Raw genomic sequence first — 21150 nt, 5'->3', positions numbered from 1 at the left:
TGTGTGTGTGTGTGTGTGTGTTTGTGTGTGTGTTCAGTTATATTCACTGAGTCAGGGCACCTCTGGAATCTACTCTTTGACAAGAACTATCTGGATGATTCTGGGCAAGTTACTTTCCCTGTGTTAATTTTTTCCGTATGATAAGGTGACCAATTTGATTTCCAAGATTACTTAGGATTCTATTTATTCTGTAAATAAAATTATAAGGACAGTAACTACTGTGGATCAACCATGTAGAGCTTTCTAGAGGAAAACTTGAAAGGGGACTGGGACAAAAATAAGGGACTATGATTCTTCTTTGTATGAACGGTGCATTCCACCTTCTTTTTTATTTTTTAAGGCTAGTCAAGTAGAACAGTGGGAGTGGAGAAAGAACAAAGAAATCTGTAATTGGTTATAATCAATTAGTTGTACACGTCCCTGCACTCAGACCAGCCATTACCTTCTCTCATAATAAGCTTTTAGATGCACTATCCCCCATTAAAGGGAGTGGCGAGTGTATAAAGGATCCTCTCAAAGAGATGAATCTGGGGGCTTTACTTTCCTGTGGGAGAGCCATGTGGCAGGAAGGGAAGACTTCCCAATTGGTCCTGTTGCTAGGGGCAGGGAATGGACACAGAGTCTCTTATTCCCTGGCCACAGGTGACCGGCTACACATTCTGTTACTCTGAAGGGGAACTAAAGCTACCCCATGTCTCCTCAGGTCCCAGTGGCATCCCTGTAAAGGCCTCTTTGAGGAAGAACCTGAGCGAATATCCATGAGAGCCTCGATTGTTTGGCCAGCCATTAGGCTGCTTGGCACCATGGGTGGTGGCCAGGAGACAGTCCTTGCAAAAGTCCCACAGTGCTTCCCAGACCCCACATCCTGGGCTTGGGTCAAAACAGAAAACAACTTTCAAACACCAGCTCTTTATACCCTTTTGTTGCCCATCTCCATTCAAATATTTTTTCTCAGAAGAAACGTTTAAACAGAAACAGAAACCAAAAATACCACATGAACCTAACAGAGTTCCTTTTGAAGTGTGGACAGAGGAACCAGAACATGAAGCTCTTATTTTAGGTCTGTTGAGAGTGATTCAGGCCTTGTCTGGCCGAGACTCTTGTTCATCCAAATATGAATGTTGGAAAGTCATTTACTTTTCCTTGTCGTTAAAGGTAATAAATGATGCAAAGATTTCTTAAATGAATTGTGGTGACCACTGAGAATCACTGTTTCCTAGGGGTTGAGAGTTTAGATCTGGAGTAAGATAGGCCAGAGTTTGAAGTTCACATCCTGGCTCCTTGCTTACGAGTTCCATAGTCCCAAATAACTGACTTAACCTCTCTGAGTCTTGGTTTCAGAATTAACAAAGTAAGAATCATAGGGCCTTTCTCAAGTGGTTGTGAGCATTAGATGAACTGATTTATGTAAAGCACATACATGTGGCTTACAGAAGACACTTAATGGTAGCAAGTATTATCATTACTCTTAGGTTGTGTCCTCATGAGAATTCCCCTCCTTTTTCTTTCCCTTTCTCTTTTTTGACACACCCACATCCATTCACATCTACCTACACACCAAGTCCACGTATAATTTGATGTGCGAGATGGTGCTTCATTTCTATGACATAGTATGAAATTACTATTGTGTTCCAGCAGCTGTTGGCTCGAATTATACTCTGTAAATTTTTATCCCGAATGAATGGCCTTTGCTTTTACTGCAGCTTTGCCTACACCCTACTTGTTGAGCCTCAGCCCTATGTATGAAAAATCCTGTTAGCATCACAGGAAATGCTAATAGTTCTGATCTGCTGACTCTTCAGAGTTGGTTAAATGGTGTTGACTATTAAAATGAACTTTGGAATGTAACAGGCCACTTTGTCAATGTCTATAAGAAAGTCATGAGCTCCCTCAGATGGATCTGCAGTACTTAAGGCACAGCTGAAAGCCCAGGCATCATCTAGGGCAGTGGTCCCCAACCTTTTTGGCCCCAGGAATCACTTTCATGGAAGACAATTTTTCCACAGATGGGTTGGAGGAGGGGGGATGGTTTAGGGATGAAATGTTCCAACTTAGATCATCAGGCATTAGTTAGATTCTCATAAGAAGCACGCAATCTAGATCCCTCACATCTGCAGATCACAATAGGGTTCACACTCCTATGAGAATCTAATGCCGCCACTGATCTGGCAGGAGGCAGAGCTCAAGCAGTAATGCTTGCGCATCTGCTGCTCACCTCCTGCTGTGCAGCCCGATTCTTAACAGGCTATGGACTGTTACTGGTCCATGGCCTGGGGATTTCGAACCCCTGATCTAAGGCACCATTCTGTTATTCTGTTTCCTTTTGATCAGCAGTGAAGGGCCATGTCTGGCATGTATGGAAGAAATGACGAATGGCTGGGTTCATGAGACCTGATTGCTGTTCTCTAGCCGGTCCTAGCTTCACAGTTTGACCACCTGTGAATCCTTTAGTCTGGGATTCATCGTCATTTACTTACAAAGAAAATGCTATTTATTAATAACTCCTAATCTCTCACTGCTACCTCATGAATCTCTGTGAAGAATCATCATGGCTGTTCTATGATGCCAGGGCTTTATCTTACTTCCCAGCACCTAGAATAGGTCCTGGCACTCTAGATATTTGCTGAATGACTACATGAAATATACCTCTTGTTCTGGATTGGGAGTTTTACAGGTTGCCTAGTTACAATAGTAATATACCCAGGTAGCCAAAAATTCAATGCGATTTGATAGTGGATCTCATTCAAAGGGATATTTGCCATAAGGTCGTTATAATTAAGCAGCTACAACTCCTGCCTCTCAGGACTTTTTTTAAGGCTAAGTTCCAGTGAAAACTTCCCGCATTGCCAAGTCAATCCTAAGCCAAAAGAACAAAGCTGGAGGCATCATGCTACCTGACTTCAAACTATACTACAAGGCTACAGTAACCAAAACAGCATGGTACTGGTACCAAAACAGAGATATAGACCAATGGAACAGAACAGAGCCCTCAGAAATAATGCCACATATCTACAACCATCTGATCTTTGACAAACCTGACAAAAACAAGAAATGGGGAAACAATTCCCTATTTAATAAATGGTGCTGGGAAAACTGGCTAGCCATATGTAGAAAGCTGAAACTGGATCCCTTCCTTACACCTTATACAAAAATTAATTCAAGATGGATTAAAGACTTAAATGTTAGACCTAAAACCATAAAAACCCTAGAAGAAAACCTAGGCAATACCATTCAGGACATAGGCATGGGCAAGGACTTCATGTCTAAAACACCAAAAGCAATGGCAACAAAAGCCAAAATTGACAAATGGGATCTAATTAAGAGCTTCTGCACAGCAAAAGAAACTACCATCAGAATTTTTTTTGCAAACTTGTTAATAATAGTTTATTTTGTCAGCAAACATGCATTGAAGTCTTCTAGACTCTCTGTTAATGAGTATGACTGCAAAGATCAACAAAAATATGTATCCTGCTTTCAAGAAGCTCTCACTGTAGCAGATAATGACAGATAATTTAAATAAGTGCAATATAACATGGTAAATAAACACAATATAATATGACAAAACAGGCAAAGTGCTATGTGAATGCTGTATTTCACCGGGCAATGTCTGGAAAAGACTTCAAGATGAAATTGATGTTGGAATTTCATCTTAGATGATGTATAGAAGTTTGCTAAGTAAGCCTAGGCAAAGGAATTATTTCTATTAGATATTCTTTATACCCTGAATTGAATGAAATATTCAATTACTTTTCTTGTATTGTAATTAGTATTTCACTTAGCTATGACAATAGCCGTTGTTAGGCATGTACATCTTGTATAAATCCTTAGAGTGGAAAGGGAAGCTTCCAGAATTGTCAGACAATATTTACTTAGAACTTTCTGGCTGCATTTTGCACTGGCATAATATTCACCTTTTTTTTTGTTTTTGTGACGGAATTTCGCTCTTGTTGCCCAGGCTGGAGTGCAGTGGCGTGATCTCGGTTCACCGCAACATCTGCCTCCCGGGTTCAAGAAATTCTCCTGCCTCAGCCTCCGGGGTAGCTGGGACTATAGGCACGCGCCACCACGCCCGGCTGATTTTGAAGTTTTAGTAGAGACGGGGTTTCTCCATGTTGGTCAGGCTGGTCTAGAACTCACAACATCAGGTGATCCACCCACCTCAGCCTCCCAAAGTGCTGGGAGCTACCAAGCCCGGCCCAATATTCACTTTCTTAATTGACTAGAGATAGCAATTTGACATCATCAAACTGGTTATGAAGTAAATGGGTTTTGAATGGTTACTGACCTATAAGGAAAGGGATTAATTTATTTTTATTTTTATTTTTATTTTTTGAGATGGAGTTTTGCTCTTGTTGTCTAGGCTGGAGTGCAATGGCGCAATCTCCACCTCACTGCAACCTCTGCCTCCTGGGTTCAAGTGATTCTCTTGCCTCAGCCTCCCGAGCAGCTGGGATTACAGGCCACCACACCCAGCTAATTTTTTGTATTTAGTAGAGATGGAGTTTCTCCATGTTGGTCAGGGTGGTATCGAACTCTCAATCTCAGGTAATCTGCCTGCCTCAGCCTCCCAAAGTGCTGGATTACAGGCGTGAGCCACCACGTCCGGTGGAAAGGGATTCATTTCTATATGTCAGATTAACATCCTATGGAGAAGAAGAAGGGATTGACAGTGACGTGTATGTGTTTCAGGATCTGAAAGATCATTGCCAGGAAAAGTCGACACCTATACCTGAAACATAACGAGAATATAATTTTCTATGGTGTTTTACAGTCTGTAATGGCCTGGTTGAGGTTTCAGAATGTCTTCAGGTGTTTTTTGTTATTGTTACAGCAGTAGAATTCACAGGCAGCTGTTTCATCTGGAAATGTATAGTTCTGTTTTTGAGGGGTTTACGTTCTTTGCAACTCGAAGCATCATTTCTGATTTCCTGATACAGATTGAAAAAATGAGAATGAACATAGGAGGCACACATATGAATTGCCGAATTTAGCCAATAAAAATAATTGCATGGGATATACTTATACTAAAAAACAAATACTTCTTTTTTATTTGAAATTAAAATTTAACTGGGTATCTTGTGTTTTATCTGGCAACTATAACACACACACACACACACACACACACACACACACACACACACACATTATTGGCTGGGAAATACAGCATTTTAGATAGCAATCAATTCTATATTACATGGATTTTCTCCTTTGTCTTATAGGCTTCCATATTATCCTGGAGTTCAATTTAACTATACAAGAAGTTTCACTTATTTACTATTTCTGCATTTTATTTTGAGTTGCCTTGAAATAAAGGATTGTATTCAGTTTATAGAATCTTGTTTTCTCAGAAATTTTGCTTGCTTATGAACAGGTAATGTTGTAAACTTCTGTGTCAAAATTGAATTTTTCCCTTCTGTTACATAGTCTTTGTCATGCTCTTTGAAAAAAGCATTTTAATGAAATTTGTTTTTTTCATATAAACAATTTTTTTCTTCTGTTGGTACCTTTGATATTGTTTTTCTTTGAGGCCTAACTAGAGCCTGTGCCTCTGAGAAGCTACTTTCTGTTCATGTATTTTAGTGAAGATGATAGTGTCTAGACTGAATGTGGTCATGGCTTTACTTAAACCCTGGCAGGGCTCCTGCACCCATAGAGGAGTTATTATAATGATCCAAAGCAAATATGAGGTTCTAATAGGGTGACACAGCAATAACAGGGTCTTTTTGAAGAAATGGGATTTAATCTGGCATTGGGAGACTGGAAATTCATGGCTTCACTTATTTATTCTGCCCAAGTAGACTTTTGTTGACACAAAGAACACTGCATTTTAAGTTGGGTTTTCCATGAGTTCATTCTAAACAGGTATTTCTGTGCTTCAAAAAGCTTCTCATATTTATATTGCAGGCATGAACTCATTCACTCAAGTTATTTTCCTTTCTCTTGGGAGAGAGAAGGTAGCCACTTAGGAGCCTAGCCTTAAAGAACATGCAGAAAAGATGGATGAAGTGAACAGTCCAGAAGGTTTTGCTGTAGCCAGCAAGTGATTCACCATTTTATGCTGAAGGGATTGGGTTTGCTAACCTTGCCAAGCACGTGGTACTCCTTTGTATATTGGTCCAGTCTGAGAGGAAAGGCCAAGCTATAAATTGAGGAGCTGGAATCAGTGAGTTTCTGAACTAAAGCAAAAGAGGCTCTATTTAGACATTCTTTAAAAGGTGTGTGTGTGTATATGTATGTGTGCGTGTGTATAAAACGATCAGACGGTAGAGATTAGAGCACTGGCTTTGTTTAATTTGGCAAATTCTAATGTTCTAGAAGAAAAGTGAAGATGTTTTAATTAAAAACACTATTTCTAAGGCACCATACATATATTCTAGAGTACCAGTAGATGAGAACTACTTATTTAGAGTGGCAGAGCATGCTATAGAAACAAAATATGAGTAATTCTAACTGTAGTTATGTTATATTAGCGTAGTGAGATAGTAACATTAATAGAATTCCTTAGTGGAATTTCTTAATGCTTCAGTTCAATCTAAATTAGTATTAATACTTTAAGGCAGGAAATCTGTCCGAAAGCATTTGTAAATTTAAAAAGCATTGAAATGAGAAGCAGAAACAAAAAATATTCATTTCTATGTATTGCTCTATCTATATTATATAACTGATTTACTACCATTAAATTATAAAATATTACATGTTCAGTGTATTGTCCTTCTGCAGTTACTGATTTATAACTTTAATAGTAACAGATGTAGCTTTATTACTAGGAAGCTTATTGAGATCATGGGACATTTAGACCCATTGTTTTGATTAAACTTTGAGGACATTTTTGTACTATCTTTATAAATATGGATATTTAAATCAGAATTACAGTAACATTGATTTTTATTGAGAAGACATTTCTAGAGTATATATTATTAATTCACTTTAATCCCTTCAACATATAGCACAGTTAAAATATTTCTAGTTTGCTACGAGTTTCAGATATAGCTAAAATTTTCATACGACTAAAATCTTTGTGTATGTCAAAGATTTGTGTATGAAGGCTTAACTTATTGATTAGTTTTTTAACATACCAAATTGCAGTAACTAAACCATCTACTATTGTGAGTTATTTTTCCTCTCACGTTTACTTTTCCTTGGCCTTATTTTACAGCTAAATTTTATAAAAAAGATTTGATTCATTTTTGAATCAAATCAAATTTATTCTAATATGTAATAAACTTTATTGCGTGCAGTTTGGCTGTTTTCAGTTTTGTTTTCAATTTTTCCTACTTTTCTTAACTTTTCCTAGGTCAATATTTTTAGTTCTGAGAGTTTCTAAAAAGAAAATATAATAATAATGGTTAACATTTGAGTGTTTACTAGTTTTCAGAACTCATTAAGTCCTACTTTGTCCCAAATTGAGTATAACTTTGAGCAAGAATCTTAATCTCTCTGAATTTCAGCCCCTTCATCTGCCAAATACAGAAAATATATTTTGGTGAGGATCATATTGGATAATGAATGTGAGAGCTCTTTTTATAGGAAGTGCCACACAAATGTAAGTTATGAATGTTTTCGCAGCTGCTACTTATAGAGCAGTGACCCAAATTAAAAAAAAAAAAGTGTGGAATGCTAAGTAAAAAATGTGATGTAGTGTAGTTGCAAAGGCGTTAGCTGTATTCTAATTCCAGATTTGCCACTTACTCGTTGAATTGACTTTGGGCAATCCACTTAACCTTTACGACAACTTCTTTATCTGTACCACGAAGGACTTCGCTACGTCAGTGTTTCTCCAGGTGTGGTCCAAGGGCCACCTTGCATCTGAGTCACCTGGGACACTTGTTTAAAGGCTGATTTTTGGGCCTCAGCCCAGACTATTGAAACAGAATCTTTGTGTTGGGATTCAGGCATCAGTACTTACGTCACACAAACCTTCAACAATGACCGTGTGAGGAGTTGCCGGCTTTGGTTTAAATTACATGGCATTCAACCTGTCCTTGCTCAATTTTAAAACCCTTTTCACCTTTTCCACTGAAATGGGCACATTTTTGGTACTGTGAGTATCCGTGATTGCCCCAGGCATGTGAGTTTGCACACTTGCTTTACAGGGGAGAGGATCAGAAGGGAAAAGGAAAGGAAAGGAGAGTTAGGGGAAAAAAAACACAAAACCACTCGGACAAAATTCTTGGCTCTTGAAGAGCTATGAAAGAAAATAGATTGTTTCACACTAAATAGACTTTCCTCTCAAAATATTTGAAACATCCACACTAATTAGTTTTATCACCCTAGGAAAATTTGTCACCTGTAAATTAATGTCTGAAAATCACCTGATCTACTAAAAGGTATCTTGAGAAATTATGGGGTATCTAAGAATGTTTCAAGTAGGCATATGATTTTATATTATCCTGAGGAGAAACCATTTGTTTCCCCCAAGAATGAGGATGGAGCAACAATGTATATTTATTTTTGCATTAACCTAATACAATTGTATGTGTCTGCATGGAAACTTTTGTAGAAAAAGGGTAAATCAATCATTTGCTTGTTCATAGGCTTTAATTTCTTCCTGAGTCAGCATGGTATAATCTGAAGAGCTTGGGAGTCGGACTCACATGTCCTTGTGTGCAAAAACCCAGTTCTGGGCTGGGCGTGGTGGCTCACGCCTGTAATCCCAGCACTTTGGGAGGCCTAGGCGGGCGGATCACGAGGTCAGGAGATCGAGACCATCCTGGCTAACATGGTGAAACCCCATCTCTACTAAAAATACAAAAAATTAGCCGGGCGCAGTGGCAGGCGCCTGTAGTCCAAGCTACTCAGGAGACTGAGGCAGGAGAATGGCGCGAACCCGGGAGGCAGAGCTTGCAGTGAGCCGAGATCGCACCACTGCACTCCAGCCTGGGTGACAGAGCGAGAGTCCAACTCAAAAAAACAAAAAACAAAAAAAAACCAGTTCTGATGACATGTTAATTGTGTGACCTAGAGCAGTATATTTGACCCTTCTGAGCTTCTATTCCCATCTATAACTGGGTAGAGTACTGTCTCCCAAATGAGGAGATTGTTGAGAAAATTAGATTTGTTCAAGTGCTTAGCATGCTGCCTGGCACATGCTGCGGTGAATGTAATGTTCTCATACTTTACCTGTGGCTCACATACATGAAAGGGCCACCTGTGGCCTGCTGTGATTAGTGGTTGGAGCTGCCTTCCCAGGATGGGCATTCCTTGAAGTTATCTAGCTTCTTTTATAGGCCTGTATAATGATGAGTGGCATTTTCCCATTCTCTGCCTGTACAAGGTGATCTGAAGGTTCTATATGGGGATTCCACTCGTTAGTTTGTATATTTATCCAGAAATTCATCCTCTAGTCATTCATTCAATCAATGATGTAGAATCCCAGCAGGATTCTATAAACTGTCATCTATCAGGATTATGAGACTATCAGGAATATGATGTTCATACAATCTTCCAAAGCCAGGCTTGAATTGTCTATATGGGAGCAATGATAAGTGGTTTTTCAGCATCTGCTCAAGCATCTTGGATACACGGACCAATGTATCCCCCAAGAGGCCAGACAATCTTTATATATATGGACTATTTTATATATATATAATTAAATATATATTATGTCATATATCTATATCTATATCCAAAATCTCAGGAAAAAACTGTATTTTGGGGTGCCATCCACTAAGCCTATTTGTCTCCTTGGGTGCCATAAAGAGCACTGCAACTATATACAAACCAATTCAGCGTGGGTGGCATATTGCCTGTTGTGTGATGGGAAAACAAATACCAAAATGTATAATCCCTATTCACTTACAAATATGACTAAAATACAGGGAGAATGGGAGTCAGACTCATGGCAGATGTAATTATGAAGCAAATCTGGCCGTGACATGCCAATGCCTATAGTCTGGTAGGAAGGATGGCACATATACATAGATAATTATTGAGAAAGGCAAAAGGTGACAAAAGTACCATAAAAGAAGTACAAATAAAGCTGTATGAGAATTTAGAGGAGAGAGACTATCTTGTTGGAAGTAAAATCAGGAAAGCTTTATGTAAATGAATTTTATGTATGACTTGGCTGTTGACATACAGGTGATGTTTAGGGAATGAAGTATTAGACTGCATTTACCTTGTTAAGTACTGAATCTTATTTTAATCACATCACATTTCCTCTTTTTTTTTTTCTAAGAGATAGTGTATTGCTATGTTGCTCAGGCTGGAATTGAACTCAGTGGGCTTTAGTGATCCTCCTGCCTCAGCCTCCTGAGTAGCTAGAACTGCAGGTGCATGCCACCACACCCAGCTTACTCTTTTTTTGATTAGCAAACTAATGCATATTCATTAAGGAAAAAAAAGAAAATCATTTAGAATTTTACCTTCCATAATTAACCAAAATATTAAGTTGAATATACTGTTTCTTTCTAGTCCTTTGCTAATTAATAGTTTATTCAATTCATATAATGCATACCACTTTATAGATTCTTTAAAAGATTGTCTTGAGCATTTATTATGCCATTAAGTAATCTTTGAAAGTGTGATTTTTCTACCCAAAGTTCAGTACATTCATATGATGAAATATATAATCATTAGACATTTACGTTTTCTTTTTTTTTTTTGCTATTATAATAACATTAAGATAAATATCTCTTATGATTCCTTCCTCACAGAGTAATGAATCATAATGACTTATTGTTAAATGTTCTTCAGAAAGCTTGTGCCAATTTATCACAAGGGGATTGGGAGTCTTTTGTCACATTCATGACAATATTGGATTTTTTTTAGTGGCACTATGTTACAACCATTTGTGTTATCTTTATTCATGATGATAAACATTAGCAAACCTAAAAAAGAGATGGAAACTTTTTAAGGATTTAGAAACCAAGATAAACAAAAATAGGAATGTATGTGGCCACATAAAAATATATGTACTCCTTTGAAGTACTTTGTTCCATGTGAAAGTCTAGTGTATATTTACTTCTTTAGAAATCTAAAGGCCTAACAGCTGAAAAAGACAGCGTGGTGATTAACAGTGTTACTTTTGAAGTCCCAACTTCCTGGATTCTCATCCTGACACTACTGCATACCAGCAGAGTCCGCTTGAGCAATGTATCCAATGGCTGCAAGCTCCAGTTTCCTTGCGTGTTAAATGAGAGACACAGCAGAAACAGTAAAACCTCAAAAGGTTAAGTGAGATTATTACACAAATGTTTCCTGACTTAGCGGTGGGGTTACATCTCCATAAATCCATCGTAAATTGAAAATATTGTAAGTTGAAAATGCATTTAATACACATAACCTTGGAACATCATAGCTTAGCCTATCCTACCTTAAACATGCTCAGAACACTTACATTAGCCTACAGTTGGCCAAAATAATCTAACACAAAGCCTATTGTACAATAAAGTGTTGAATATCTCATCGATTTATTGAATACTGAAATGAAAGTGAAAAACAGAATGGTTGTATGGGTACCCAAAGTACAGTTTCTAAGGAATGGGTGTATCACTTTTACACTGTCATAAAGTCAAAAAATCCTAAATCAAACCATTGTAAGTCAGGGACCGTCTGTATAAGATGCCAAGTTTATAAGTACTTGGTAGGTACTATTATAAAATACATGATACATAACTTGTTTTCATCAGATTATCATATTGCCATGCTGAAATCTAAAGTCCCTGAATTAATCCTCATTGTGGCAGATCTTTATTATGTCTTGAGCAGGACCAGACCACAAGGGTCAGGACCCATGATGCTTCTAGGACTCAGTGGGGCAAGTCTCCTTTGTATTGAGTGGTGTTGCCATGTCAAAGCATGGACACAGAGAGGAGAATATCACACACTGGGGCCTGTTGGGGGTTGGGGGGCTGAGGGAGGGATAGCGTTAGGAGAAATACCCAATGTGGATGATGGGTTGATGGGTGCAGCAAACCACCATGGCACGTGTATACCTATGTAACAAACCTGCACGTTCTGCATATGTACCCCAGAACTTAAAGTATAATAATAATAATAATAATAATAATAATAATATAATAATAAGACCTTGAAAACAGATATGCAACTCACTGCTGAGATCCTTTACTTTTCTATCTTCCCTAGACAACTTTAATCCCTAAGTAATATTCCCATGACGTCTCAGTTCAGTGCTCATACTGTCTCAGTTTTTTTACAGTGCCCCAAAGCTAAAAGAAATACCTAACAGTTTCATTTATTAAATCAACTTAATAAGTATATTCAACTTAATTAGTTAATTCAACTTAATACGTATATAGGTCCTGATAAATTAGTAGCCATTTTGTAAAACAAAACCATATAAATTGAAAGAATTATCATTTTTATCTAATCCTTCATATTTACTAAGGTATGTATGCACCTGTTGGGCACTGCACAACTTTTCAAAACTTGAATTCAGATTGGAAACCACCATCTTCATTTTCTGTTCCACACTGAGTTTTATGTTTACACTTCATTTTTATTATAGCAGATATCATATTGCAAGGACATGATGTCATTGAAAGGAATGTAATGCCATTTAATGTTGAAGCGCTGAACTACTTTATGCTCGTAGTTCAGAGGGTGTCTGAGAGATGTCGAGTGTTAGCTGCCCTCAAATTAAAAATATCTAGTAGCATTCCTCTGAATTCACTGTGGCACCCCAAGGTTCCTGGGGGCACAGTTTGGGAACCAGAGTCTTACAGTATTTCTGGTTTCTGGCTTTACTTCAGTTTTGTTTTCTTTCATCTCATTGACTCTTCTTCCCCAGTTCCTACTTTTATTTCTTGGTTCCAGCTCTCTGGTTACTTTCTCCGCTGCTCAGGTCCGCTCTCTGCATACTCACCATCAAGCAGCAGCAGTCTCTGTAACTTCTGGACCTTTGCAGACCTAGATGCAGCCCCGTAGGCTCTGATGTGGTTTGGTAGCTGGCTGTAGGTCAATTGATGTGTTCTAAATTCTACAGGACTTCTTCAGTTCACAACTCCAGGGAGCATTACGTCCATCATAACCTGCCCTAATGGCATGCCTTTCATGTGGCTGGCCATTAGCTTCTGTCTGTGGCGGTCTCCCTGCAATGTGGGTGGGCTTGTCCTCCACATCAGGTCTCCTAGCTCACTAGGAACACTCTGCTTTATAACAACAAGACCACCTGTATGCTGAGACCACATCTCATCGCTCCTTTTCTTGGAGTATCAACCCGGAAAATGTATTTGAAACAGTTGAGTGGTTAATTGTGGACTCCGGATTAACCTGCTTAATTTTTTTTATCATAGGTTTACTACTTACTCTTTAACTTCCTGAAACTTCAGATTCCTCATCTGTAAAATAGAGATAATTGACTTCCTTCATGTGAGAATCAAATGAAAAGTTATGTGATGCCCTTTAGTCAATGTCTGACATTTATTAAATGTTAACTGTTACTATATTTTTCTGACAGTAATTTCGTAATTTACTTTTAACTATTTTAATGTCTTTAGGAACAGAGTAATAAACTACTGGCTCTTAAAGTTTAGTTTGTCAGTTCATGAGAGGAAACATAAATATTGAAAGGAAAAATACATTCATATAATTTCCTTTAATTAAACTGAGATAAGATCTTGCTCTGTCACCTATACTGGAGTACAGTGGCTAGATCACAGCTCACTGCAGCCTCAACCTCCTGGTCTCAAGCCATCGTCCTACCTCACCCTGTTTTTTGTTTTGTTTTGTTTTTTGTTTTGTTTTTTGAAACAGGGTTTTGCTCTGTCACACAGGCTGGAGTACAGTAGCGATCCTTGCTTACTGCAGCTTCAAACTCCTGGGCTCAAGGGATTCTCCCACTTTAGCCTCGTGTGCAGCTAGGACTATAGTCAAGCGCCGTAACGTCTGGCTAATTAAAAAAAAAAAAATTTGTTGTTGTTGTTGAGATGGGGTCTCATTATGTTTCCCAGGCTGGTCTGGGACTCCTGGCCTCAAGTATTCCTCCCACATCAGTCTCCCAAAGTGCTGAGAATACAGGCATGGGCCACTGTGCCTGGCCACATTTGGTTTATATATACTACAATATCTTTGTAGACATATTATCTGTGATGATTTTTATGAAATTGTAGGTATGATAGTGCAGATAGTGTTTTACCCATTTTAGAGATGGTAAAACAGATTCAGAGAGATGACGTGAATTACTGAAGGAAATTAAGTATTTGCTAGACCCCATACCCTAACCTAGGACTTGTAGTTTCAATGCTGGTGCTCATTACTTGCTATTTTGTTGCCTTTAGTATTTCAAAAGGTAAAAACAAAAGAGGAAGGGAAGAAAAAAAGGAAAAGAAGATTGTTATTCTCTGATGTCTTTTTAAACAATGAAAATTTGCTATTTCTGCTGTGTCTAGTATATATAAGTATTATAATGATTTTAATTAGTGCATAAAAATCACAACAGTTGAAAAAAATTGCCAATGCTCTCTCATTAGAAATAATTTCAAAAGATAAATTGCTTATCGACCTTACTTGAACTATGCATCCAAAGCATTGTATTCATCACTCAGAAAAGTATAATGTAAGCATTGGTAAGTTTGATTTCCAGTTGACAGAAAAATGCTTCAGAAAAAGAGACAAACTTTCCCTTCCCCCCATTCTCTACTTTTCCAAATATTCAGATGCCTAAACCTTCCACCCATGCTAGAGCTGTTGCTGCCTAACCACCTTCTGGGCACAATGGCATGGAAATACATAATCAGGGTATAATTTTGTGCAGGGCAGAGAGAACATGCTATTATGGAATCAAGTCTCAGCTGAATAGCCTGGCCTTTGGCTGTGTTTTGATCTCAGTGCTAAAATGGAAATGAAACGTTGCCTCCTCCTTTGTGGCCTATACAAAGTTTGCTGATTCTGTGCTCATTTGGTGATTTTCATGCCCAAGTAGGTGAAGGGAGAACAACTACGTACATAGATGTGCAGCTTTGGGGTTGAAGGCATTGATGTGTGTGTGCTGAGTCACTATGACAATCTAAAGAGGACTCTCTGGTGGCTGATTAGAAAATTGTGGAAGTTACAGGCTGTCTGGGTTAAACATTTCCTGGTTTATTGGAGGCAGATTTCCTTGGGCCAGCAAGCATTGAAACTCCCACAGTGGTGTCATGTGATGGTTCTCCAGCGAAGCATTTTGGATATGGTGACAGCTGCTTTAGTTTAAGTATCTGGAACATCTAATGTGGGAGAACTTGGCTAAGTGATGTGAGAAGTTAAGAGAGGAGTCTGAAGTTTCCGTTACATTTTTTTCTGTTTAGTGGATTAAAAGGCAATTCCCATGCAAATTGTCTCTGTCTTTAGGTGTTGTATTCATTTTCTATGCTACATCGCAAATTGTCACAGACTTAGTGGTTTAAAACACACCCATGAATTATCTCTCAGTCTCTGTAGGTTAAAAGTCCAGGCATGCTTAGCTGGGTTCTGTGCTTGGGGTCTCACAAGCTGAAGTCTGCGTACCAGTTGGGTTGCATTCTCATGTGGAGGCTCGACTAGGGAAGGATCTGCTTCAAGTTCCTTAGGTTGCTGGTAGAATTCATTTCCTTGTGACTGTAGAATTCATGGCAACTTGCATCTTCAAGGCCAGCAATGGGCGGAGGCAGGGGGTGGGCAGAGGGAGAGAGGGAGGGAGAGATAGAGGGAGAGAGAGAGAAATCTGTACTTCTTCCAGTCTCTGGCCTCTGTGAGAGCTCACTTAAGTCAGTCCAACTGACCCAGGGTAATCTCCCTTTTGAGCAATTTATTGTCAATTTAATTACATATGCAAAACCCCTTCACTTTTGCTATTTGACAGAACCTAATCAAGGGAGTGGCATCCTATAACTGTATTCTATGGCTAGAAGCAAGTTACAGGTTCTGCTCACACACCAGGGGAAGGGGGACTACACAAGAGTGTGACTCATTTTGGAACATCTTAGGGTGTGTCCACCATAGATGTACCATTTTGAGTACAGATGGAAAAAAAAAAACCAGCTTTTCAAAAATGCTGTTTTAAAGGAATTGATGTTGTTAGGTTGAAGGCTAAAGGATGGAATGTTATGTATTTAAATGTATACTTAGTTTTTAAAAAGTTTTTGCCAGGAATATTAGTCATCTGTTAAAGAATGTATCATCTAGTACTTTCTTTTTGAAGTTTTCTTTAATTTTGGCTACAGAGACATTACTCTTCTCTGAGTCTCATATCTCTTTACCTGTTCCTTCACTTCCCCTTCCTTCATCCCTTCTGTTTGTTTTTGAAATGCTGCATCTCTAACCTGACAGTTCCTTCTGTCCACTCACCTCAAGGATGGCTAGAAATCTTATATCCAGACCGCTTACTTCCTGAACACAGTGGCATGGAAACACATAATCATGATGTAATCATGAGCCTGTACATAAGCCAGCTACTCTGTTGGGTTCAGGTTGTAACCTGAGTGTCTGCAGAATGGCCTGTGGGTGAGAGACCTTAGATTGTTTCAATCTCACTGTTAAAATATAAATGAAAATTTATTTTCTTTTTGGTATAGGAAACATGCTGGTTTCATTCATGTTGGGTGGTTCTTATGTCCAATAGCAGTCTTACATAAACAGTCTTACAGAAGTGTACAGAGTATGTGCCTGTTTATTTATACTTAATCTTTTATTTAAAAAAGGATTTGGCTGGTGCAGTGGCTCACACCTATAATTCTAGCACTTTGGGAGGCCAAAGTGGATGGATTGCTTGAGCTTAGGAGTTCGAGACCAGCCTGATGACATGGAAAAACCCCATCTCTACAAAAAAACAAACAAACAAACAAAAAACAAAAGTTAGTTGGGCATGGTGGTGCATGCCTCTTGTCCCAGCTACTTGGAAGGCTGAGTTGGAAGGATAGCATGAGGCCTGTAGGTGGAGGCTACAGTGAGCTGTGATCGTGCCACTGTACTACAGCCTGGGTGGCAGAGCGAGACCCAGTCTCAAAACAAAGTATTTAAGACAGCTTAAAAAGATGCATTCAGTTCAGAGGACAAAGTTGAGTTTAAAATAAGCAAGAAAAAGGAGGGAAAGGGAAAAAGAAATCTAAGAAAATGACATGGAGTCAGGTAAAGACATACTTTCTAGCAGTTAATGAAGATGTAAAACACAATAACGTTCATGATTTGGTGGCCATAAAGTAAAATCAGGAGAAATAACCCTTCTAAGTACTGAGTCCAAAGAGACATTTCTCATTTGGGTATTGCTCTGTGATGGATGCATCAGCTATGATGTGATGTTCTGGAGAGCTCTACATTCTTTATGGCACATTCAGTACCATGTCCCATAAAGTCATGCCATATCATTTCTCAGTGAAGGTTGGTGGTCTGTAACCAAAGTGCAGTTCAATGAAAGCAATTCTGTGGGGCTTAAAGATATAGCCCAGTCATGTGGCTTTCTAATATATTGGTTGGCTCCCTCAAGAATCAGGTTTAGCATAGTGTTTCTTAGTCTTATTAAAAACGTATTGCCCTGCCCCTGAAAAGCTTAAGAACTTTATTATTATTATTATTTTTGAGATGGAATTTCGCTCTTGTCATCTAGGCTAGAGTGCAATGGCACAATCTTGGCTCACTGCAGCCTCCACCTCCCAGGTTCAAGTGATGCTCCTTCCCCAGCCTCCCAAGTAGCTGGGATTACAGGCATGTACCACCATGCCTGGCTAATTTTTTTTTTTTTTTTGTATTTTTAGTAGAGACGAGGTTGCACTTTGTTAGCCAGGCTGGTCTTGAACTCCTGACCTCAGGTGATCCACCCGCCTTGGCTTCCCAAAGTGCTGGGATTACAGCCGTGAGCCGCTGTACCCGGCCAAGAACATTTTAAAGTTTTTTTCATACCTTAGCTTATATTTGAAAAGAAGTTATTTTATCTTCCAACTACAAAGTTATTACAATATTGACAATATACACACTCAGCACTAGTTAATCTGCCCTCAACAACCTTAAAAAAAAAAAAAAGACTTTATTTTGGCCTATCCAAAAGAATGAATTATATAGTTTTCCATGCATATTGTTACAGTTATTTTTTCCAAGTTTAAAAAATATTATCTTTGTTGCTGACATCTGGATATACCTTTTTTATAATTTCTAGTTAAAGTGAGTGGAGTTTTTTTAGGGGGTGGTTTGGGAGTAATTAGCATTCTCTAGAGAAAACTGGAGGACTTTAAAAAGACATCTGCCTCATTAGGAGGCTGTTCCACCTCAGCTACAAGACAGAAGAGGAAAAAAAGTATGGCCAACCCAAGGGTTTCTGCATAATAATAATGGTCTTCCTACGGAGGGTCTGAGTGATCCAGGCCACCTGGGTCTGAGTCACAAAGCCTGCATGCAATACTTATTATTCACTAATTTATTTCTGGTTATAAAAGTAAATCGTATCCTATGTCAATGTTTTATAGTATACAGAATCATTTAAGTAAGGTTACAAAAGTGATTCTGAACTTGACCACCACCATTTTGACATACTTCCATCCAGTGTATTTTTTTCTTGTGCCAATATAGCATAGTGGCTAAGAACAAAGGCCTCTGGAGGCATCCAGATTTAGAGTAAGATCCCAGCTCCGTCATTCCTAGCTGTATTGCCCAGAGAAGTTTCTTGACCTCTTTGAACCTCAGTTTCCTCATTTGTAAAATACAGGCAGTCCCATCTCGTAAGGTTATTGCCAGGGACTACATGAGAAGTATATTCAATGAGGTTATTAGCACAGTGCCAATTATATGACAGACCTCAGTAGATACTGGCTATTGCATGCTACATGTGTGTATACATGCATTTAAATGTATATAGTAGTATTATATAATTGATATCATACTCAAGTTTCCCTTATCCTTTAAATTTAACATCTAACATTTTAACCATAAGGTTATATCACTGTATACTTACCTGTTTGTTTGATTTTAGTCATTCATGTTATTACCATGATTTTCATATTGATAATTTGATAACTTATATTGACAGAAGTGAGAAGTAAGACACTCAGAAGTAAGCAAGAGAGGAAAAGAAGGCACACTCGTTCAATTTTTCTTCTTTCTCAGGGTAGTCAGTGTTTCGTTTTTGATGATAACGTATGGAAAAATAGCTAAAATCTACATCTAAGGAATTTAAACCATTCATATCCATTTACATCTTCATAATTCCAGAAATTTATTCTAAGAAAAATGAGTATGTACAAATATATGATTGTGGTTATATGTGTACATACACATGTGGACATATGTATGTGTGTATATATACATGTACACATTTTGAATAATATGTTCACAGATTAAATTCTAGAGATGGAATTACAGATACTTTTTTGTTGTATATTCTCTTTTTTGAGAGACAGAGTCTCACTCTGTCTCCCAGGCTGGAGTGCAATGGCGTGATCTCTGCTCACTACAACCTCCACCTCCCAGGTTCAAGTGATTCTTCTTCTGCTTCTGCATCAGCCTTCCAAGTAGCTGGGATTACAGGCACATGCCACCACCCCTGGCTAAGTTTTGTATTTTTAGTAGAGATGGGGTTTCACTATGTTGGTCAGGCTGGTCTCCAACTCTTTACCTCCAGTGATCTGCCTGCCTCAGCTTCCCAAAGTGCTGGGATTACAGGCATGAGCCACCATGCCCGACCTGTTGTATATTCATTTTCAAATATTCTACAATATGTACTTCTTATTCTCATCATCATAAAATAGCAATAAATATTACTGTTTTTAAAATGAAAGAAGATAAAGAAAAACTATGAATCATAAGCACACTTTAGAGAGTACAATTATACAGGGAGTTTAAAAACCATCAAAATTATCCTTAAGGACAATGTCTGCATCTTAAATGAGAGACCTCCTAGACTGCAAGTGCATGCAGCTTGCACAAAGGGGCCCTCACTATCATTCTGATCATTAAATTCTTTTTTTTTTTAACTTGCGAAATCTGTTTTATTCAAGTTTCTTTCAAGCCAAGTGGCTAGAACTAAGGTTAGGTTTCATTTTTGAGTATGAGATTAGCAGTTGTCTTAGCTCGAGAGCTAAAACATTAATTTTGAAGCAGGAAAGGTAAAACACAGAAGTATCATCTCAGCAAGCAAAATAAGCTTTTTTTCCCCCCTTGAGTCTTTAATGAAGAAAGGAAGTGAAAAGAGATAAAAAGAGGCCTGTCTCTGCATACTGTACTAGGCATCTTCCATGTCAGTATCAGCATTCTGCCTTCCTCGATAAGACTCTCAGCCTGGGAAAGAAGGAAACCAAGAATTATCCTCACAACCAGAATTGTTCTAGAGATTTTGTGGAAACACATTTATTAAAGACTGATATAGTTTGGCTGGGTCCCCACCCAAATCTCTTCTTGAATTGTAGCTCCTATAATTCCCATGTGTTGTGGGAGGGACCTGGTGGGAGTTAATTGAATCATGGGGGTGGGTCTTTCCCGTGCTGTTCTGGTGGTAGTGAATAAGTCTCATGAGACCTGATGGTTTTACAGGGGGAAACCCCTTTCACTTGGCTCTCATTCTCCCTCTTGCTTGCCGCCATGTAAGATGTACCTTTTGCCTTCCACCATGATTGTGAGGCCTCCCCAGCCATGTGGAACTGTGAGTTCATTAAACCTCTTTTTCTTTATAAATTATCCAGTCTCAGGTATGTCTTTATTAGCAGTATGAAAACAGATTAACACAAAGACATTTGTGTACACAGTGATAAAATGGTTTAAAAGTTAGGGAGACAGCTACATAAGACAAAGGGAAACAGGATTAGAATCAGGCAAAGGAGTTTGTAAGTTCTTGGGTGTGGAGCTTGCTTTCTCCTGGGAAGAGTTGCCTTTTGAGATGCTGTCATCCTTTGAGGACAGGAACCAAAGGAAAAAAGCAATGAGGGAACTTCTTTTTGTCCCAAATCGCCTGCCAAAAATAAGTCAGTGATGCTTGTCAAGCTTGGACGTGTCTTGTTCATACAGTCTGGTAATAGCCAGCTTTCTTGTGGAAAAATATAGCAGGCACCCATTGAACTTCTTAGATGTTCTCTCCTCTTTGAGCATGTAACCTTTCATCTACATTCTACAAAATAGCCACTTTGATCTTCCTACTCAACAATTTAAATGGATCCCCACTGCCTAAGAAGGAAAGCAGAAATCTCTTACCCTAATGTTCTCGTCCTTCCAAAATCACATTGCAGCCTGTCCTTTAGTCTTATTTTCCATAAC

General features: G+C 38.5%; 1 protein-coding gene across 74 annotated transcripts in view, besides 5 other annotated features; it reads left to right on the top strand.

The window, feature by feature from the left end:
* The window catches only part of LPAR1 (lysophosphatidic acid receptor 1), a 165736-nt gene that overhangs the window by 104156 nt on the left and 40430 nt on the right, over positions 1-21150 (top strand). The gene's annotated exons all lie outside the window — the stretch shown is intronic.
* Positions 684-1053: an enhancer, noted in NCBI's record as "active region_28790". NCBI's record gives its function as "activates an Ori minimal core promoter by ATAC-STARR-seq in GM12878 lymphoblastoid cells {active_cell/tissue: GM12878}" and the evidence as "EXISTENCE:reporter gene assay evidence [ECO:0000049][PMID:35858748]".
* Positions 1074-1283: an enhancer, noted in NCBI's record as "active region_28789". NCBI's record gives its function as "activates an Ori minimal core promoter by ATAC-STARR-seq in GM12878 lymphoblastoid cells {active_cell/tissue: GM12878}" and the evidence as "EXISTENCE:reporter gene assay evidence [ECO:0000049][PMID:35858748]".
* Positions 2471-2640: an enhancer, noted in NCBI's record as "experimental_105469 CRE fragment used in MPRA reporter constructs". NCBI's record gives its function as "activates a minimal promoter by MPRAs in K562 erythroleukemia cells, with activity observed for both the introgressed and non-introgressed 9:113694568 variant alleles {active_cell/tissue: K562}" and the evidence as "EXISTENCE:reporter gene assay evidence [ECO:0000049][PMID:34662402]".
* Positions 19284-19453: an enhancer, noted in NCBI's record as "experimental_105449 CRE fragment used in MPRA reporter constructs". NCBI's record gives its function as "activates a minimal promoter by MPRAs in K562 erythroleukemia cells, with activity observed for both the introgressed and non-introgressed 9:113677755 variant alleles {active_cell/tissue: K562}" and the evidence as "EXISTENCE:reporter gene assay evidence [ECO:0000049][PMID:34662402]".
* Positions 19631-19800: an enhancer, noted in NCBI's record as "experimental_105435 CRE fragment used in MPRA reporter constructs". NCBI's record gives its function as "activates a minimal promoter by MPRAs in K562 erythroleukemia cells, with activity observed for both the introgressed and non-introgressed 9:113677408 variant alleles {active_cell/tissue: K562}" and the evidence as "EXISTENCE:reporter gene assay evidence [ECO:0000049][PMID:34662402]".

This window comes from Homo sapiens, chromosome 9 (genome assembly GCF_000001405.40).
Source record: "Homo sapiens chromosome 9, GRCh38.p14 Primary Assembly".
NCBI classification, from domain to species: Eukaryota; Metazoa; Chordata; class Mammalia; order Primates; family Hominidae; genus Homo; species Homo sapiens.
This window is presented reverse-complemented; position numbering and strand designations above follow the sequence as displayed.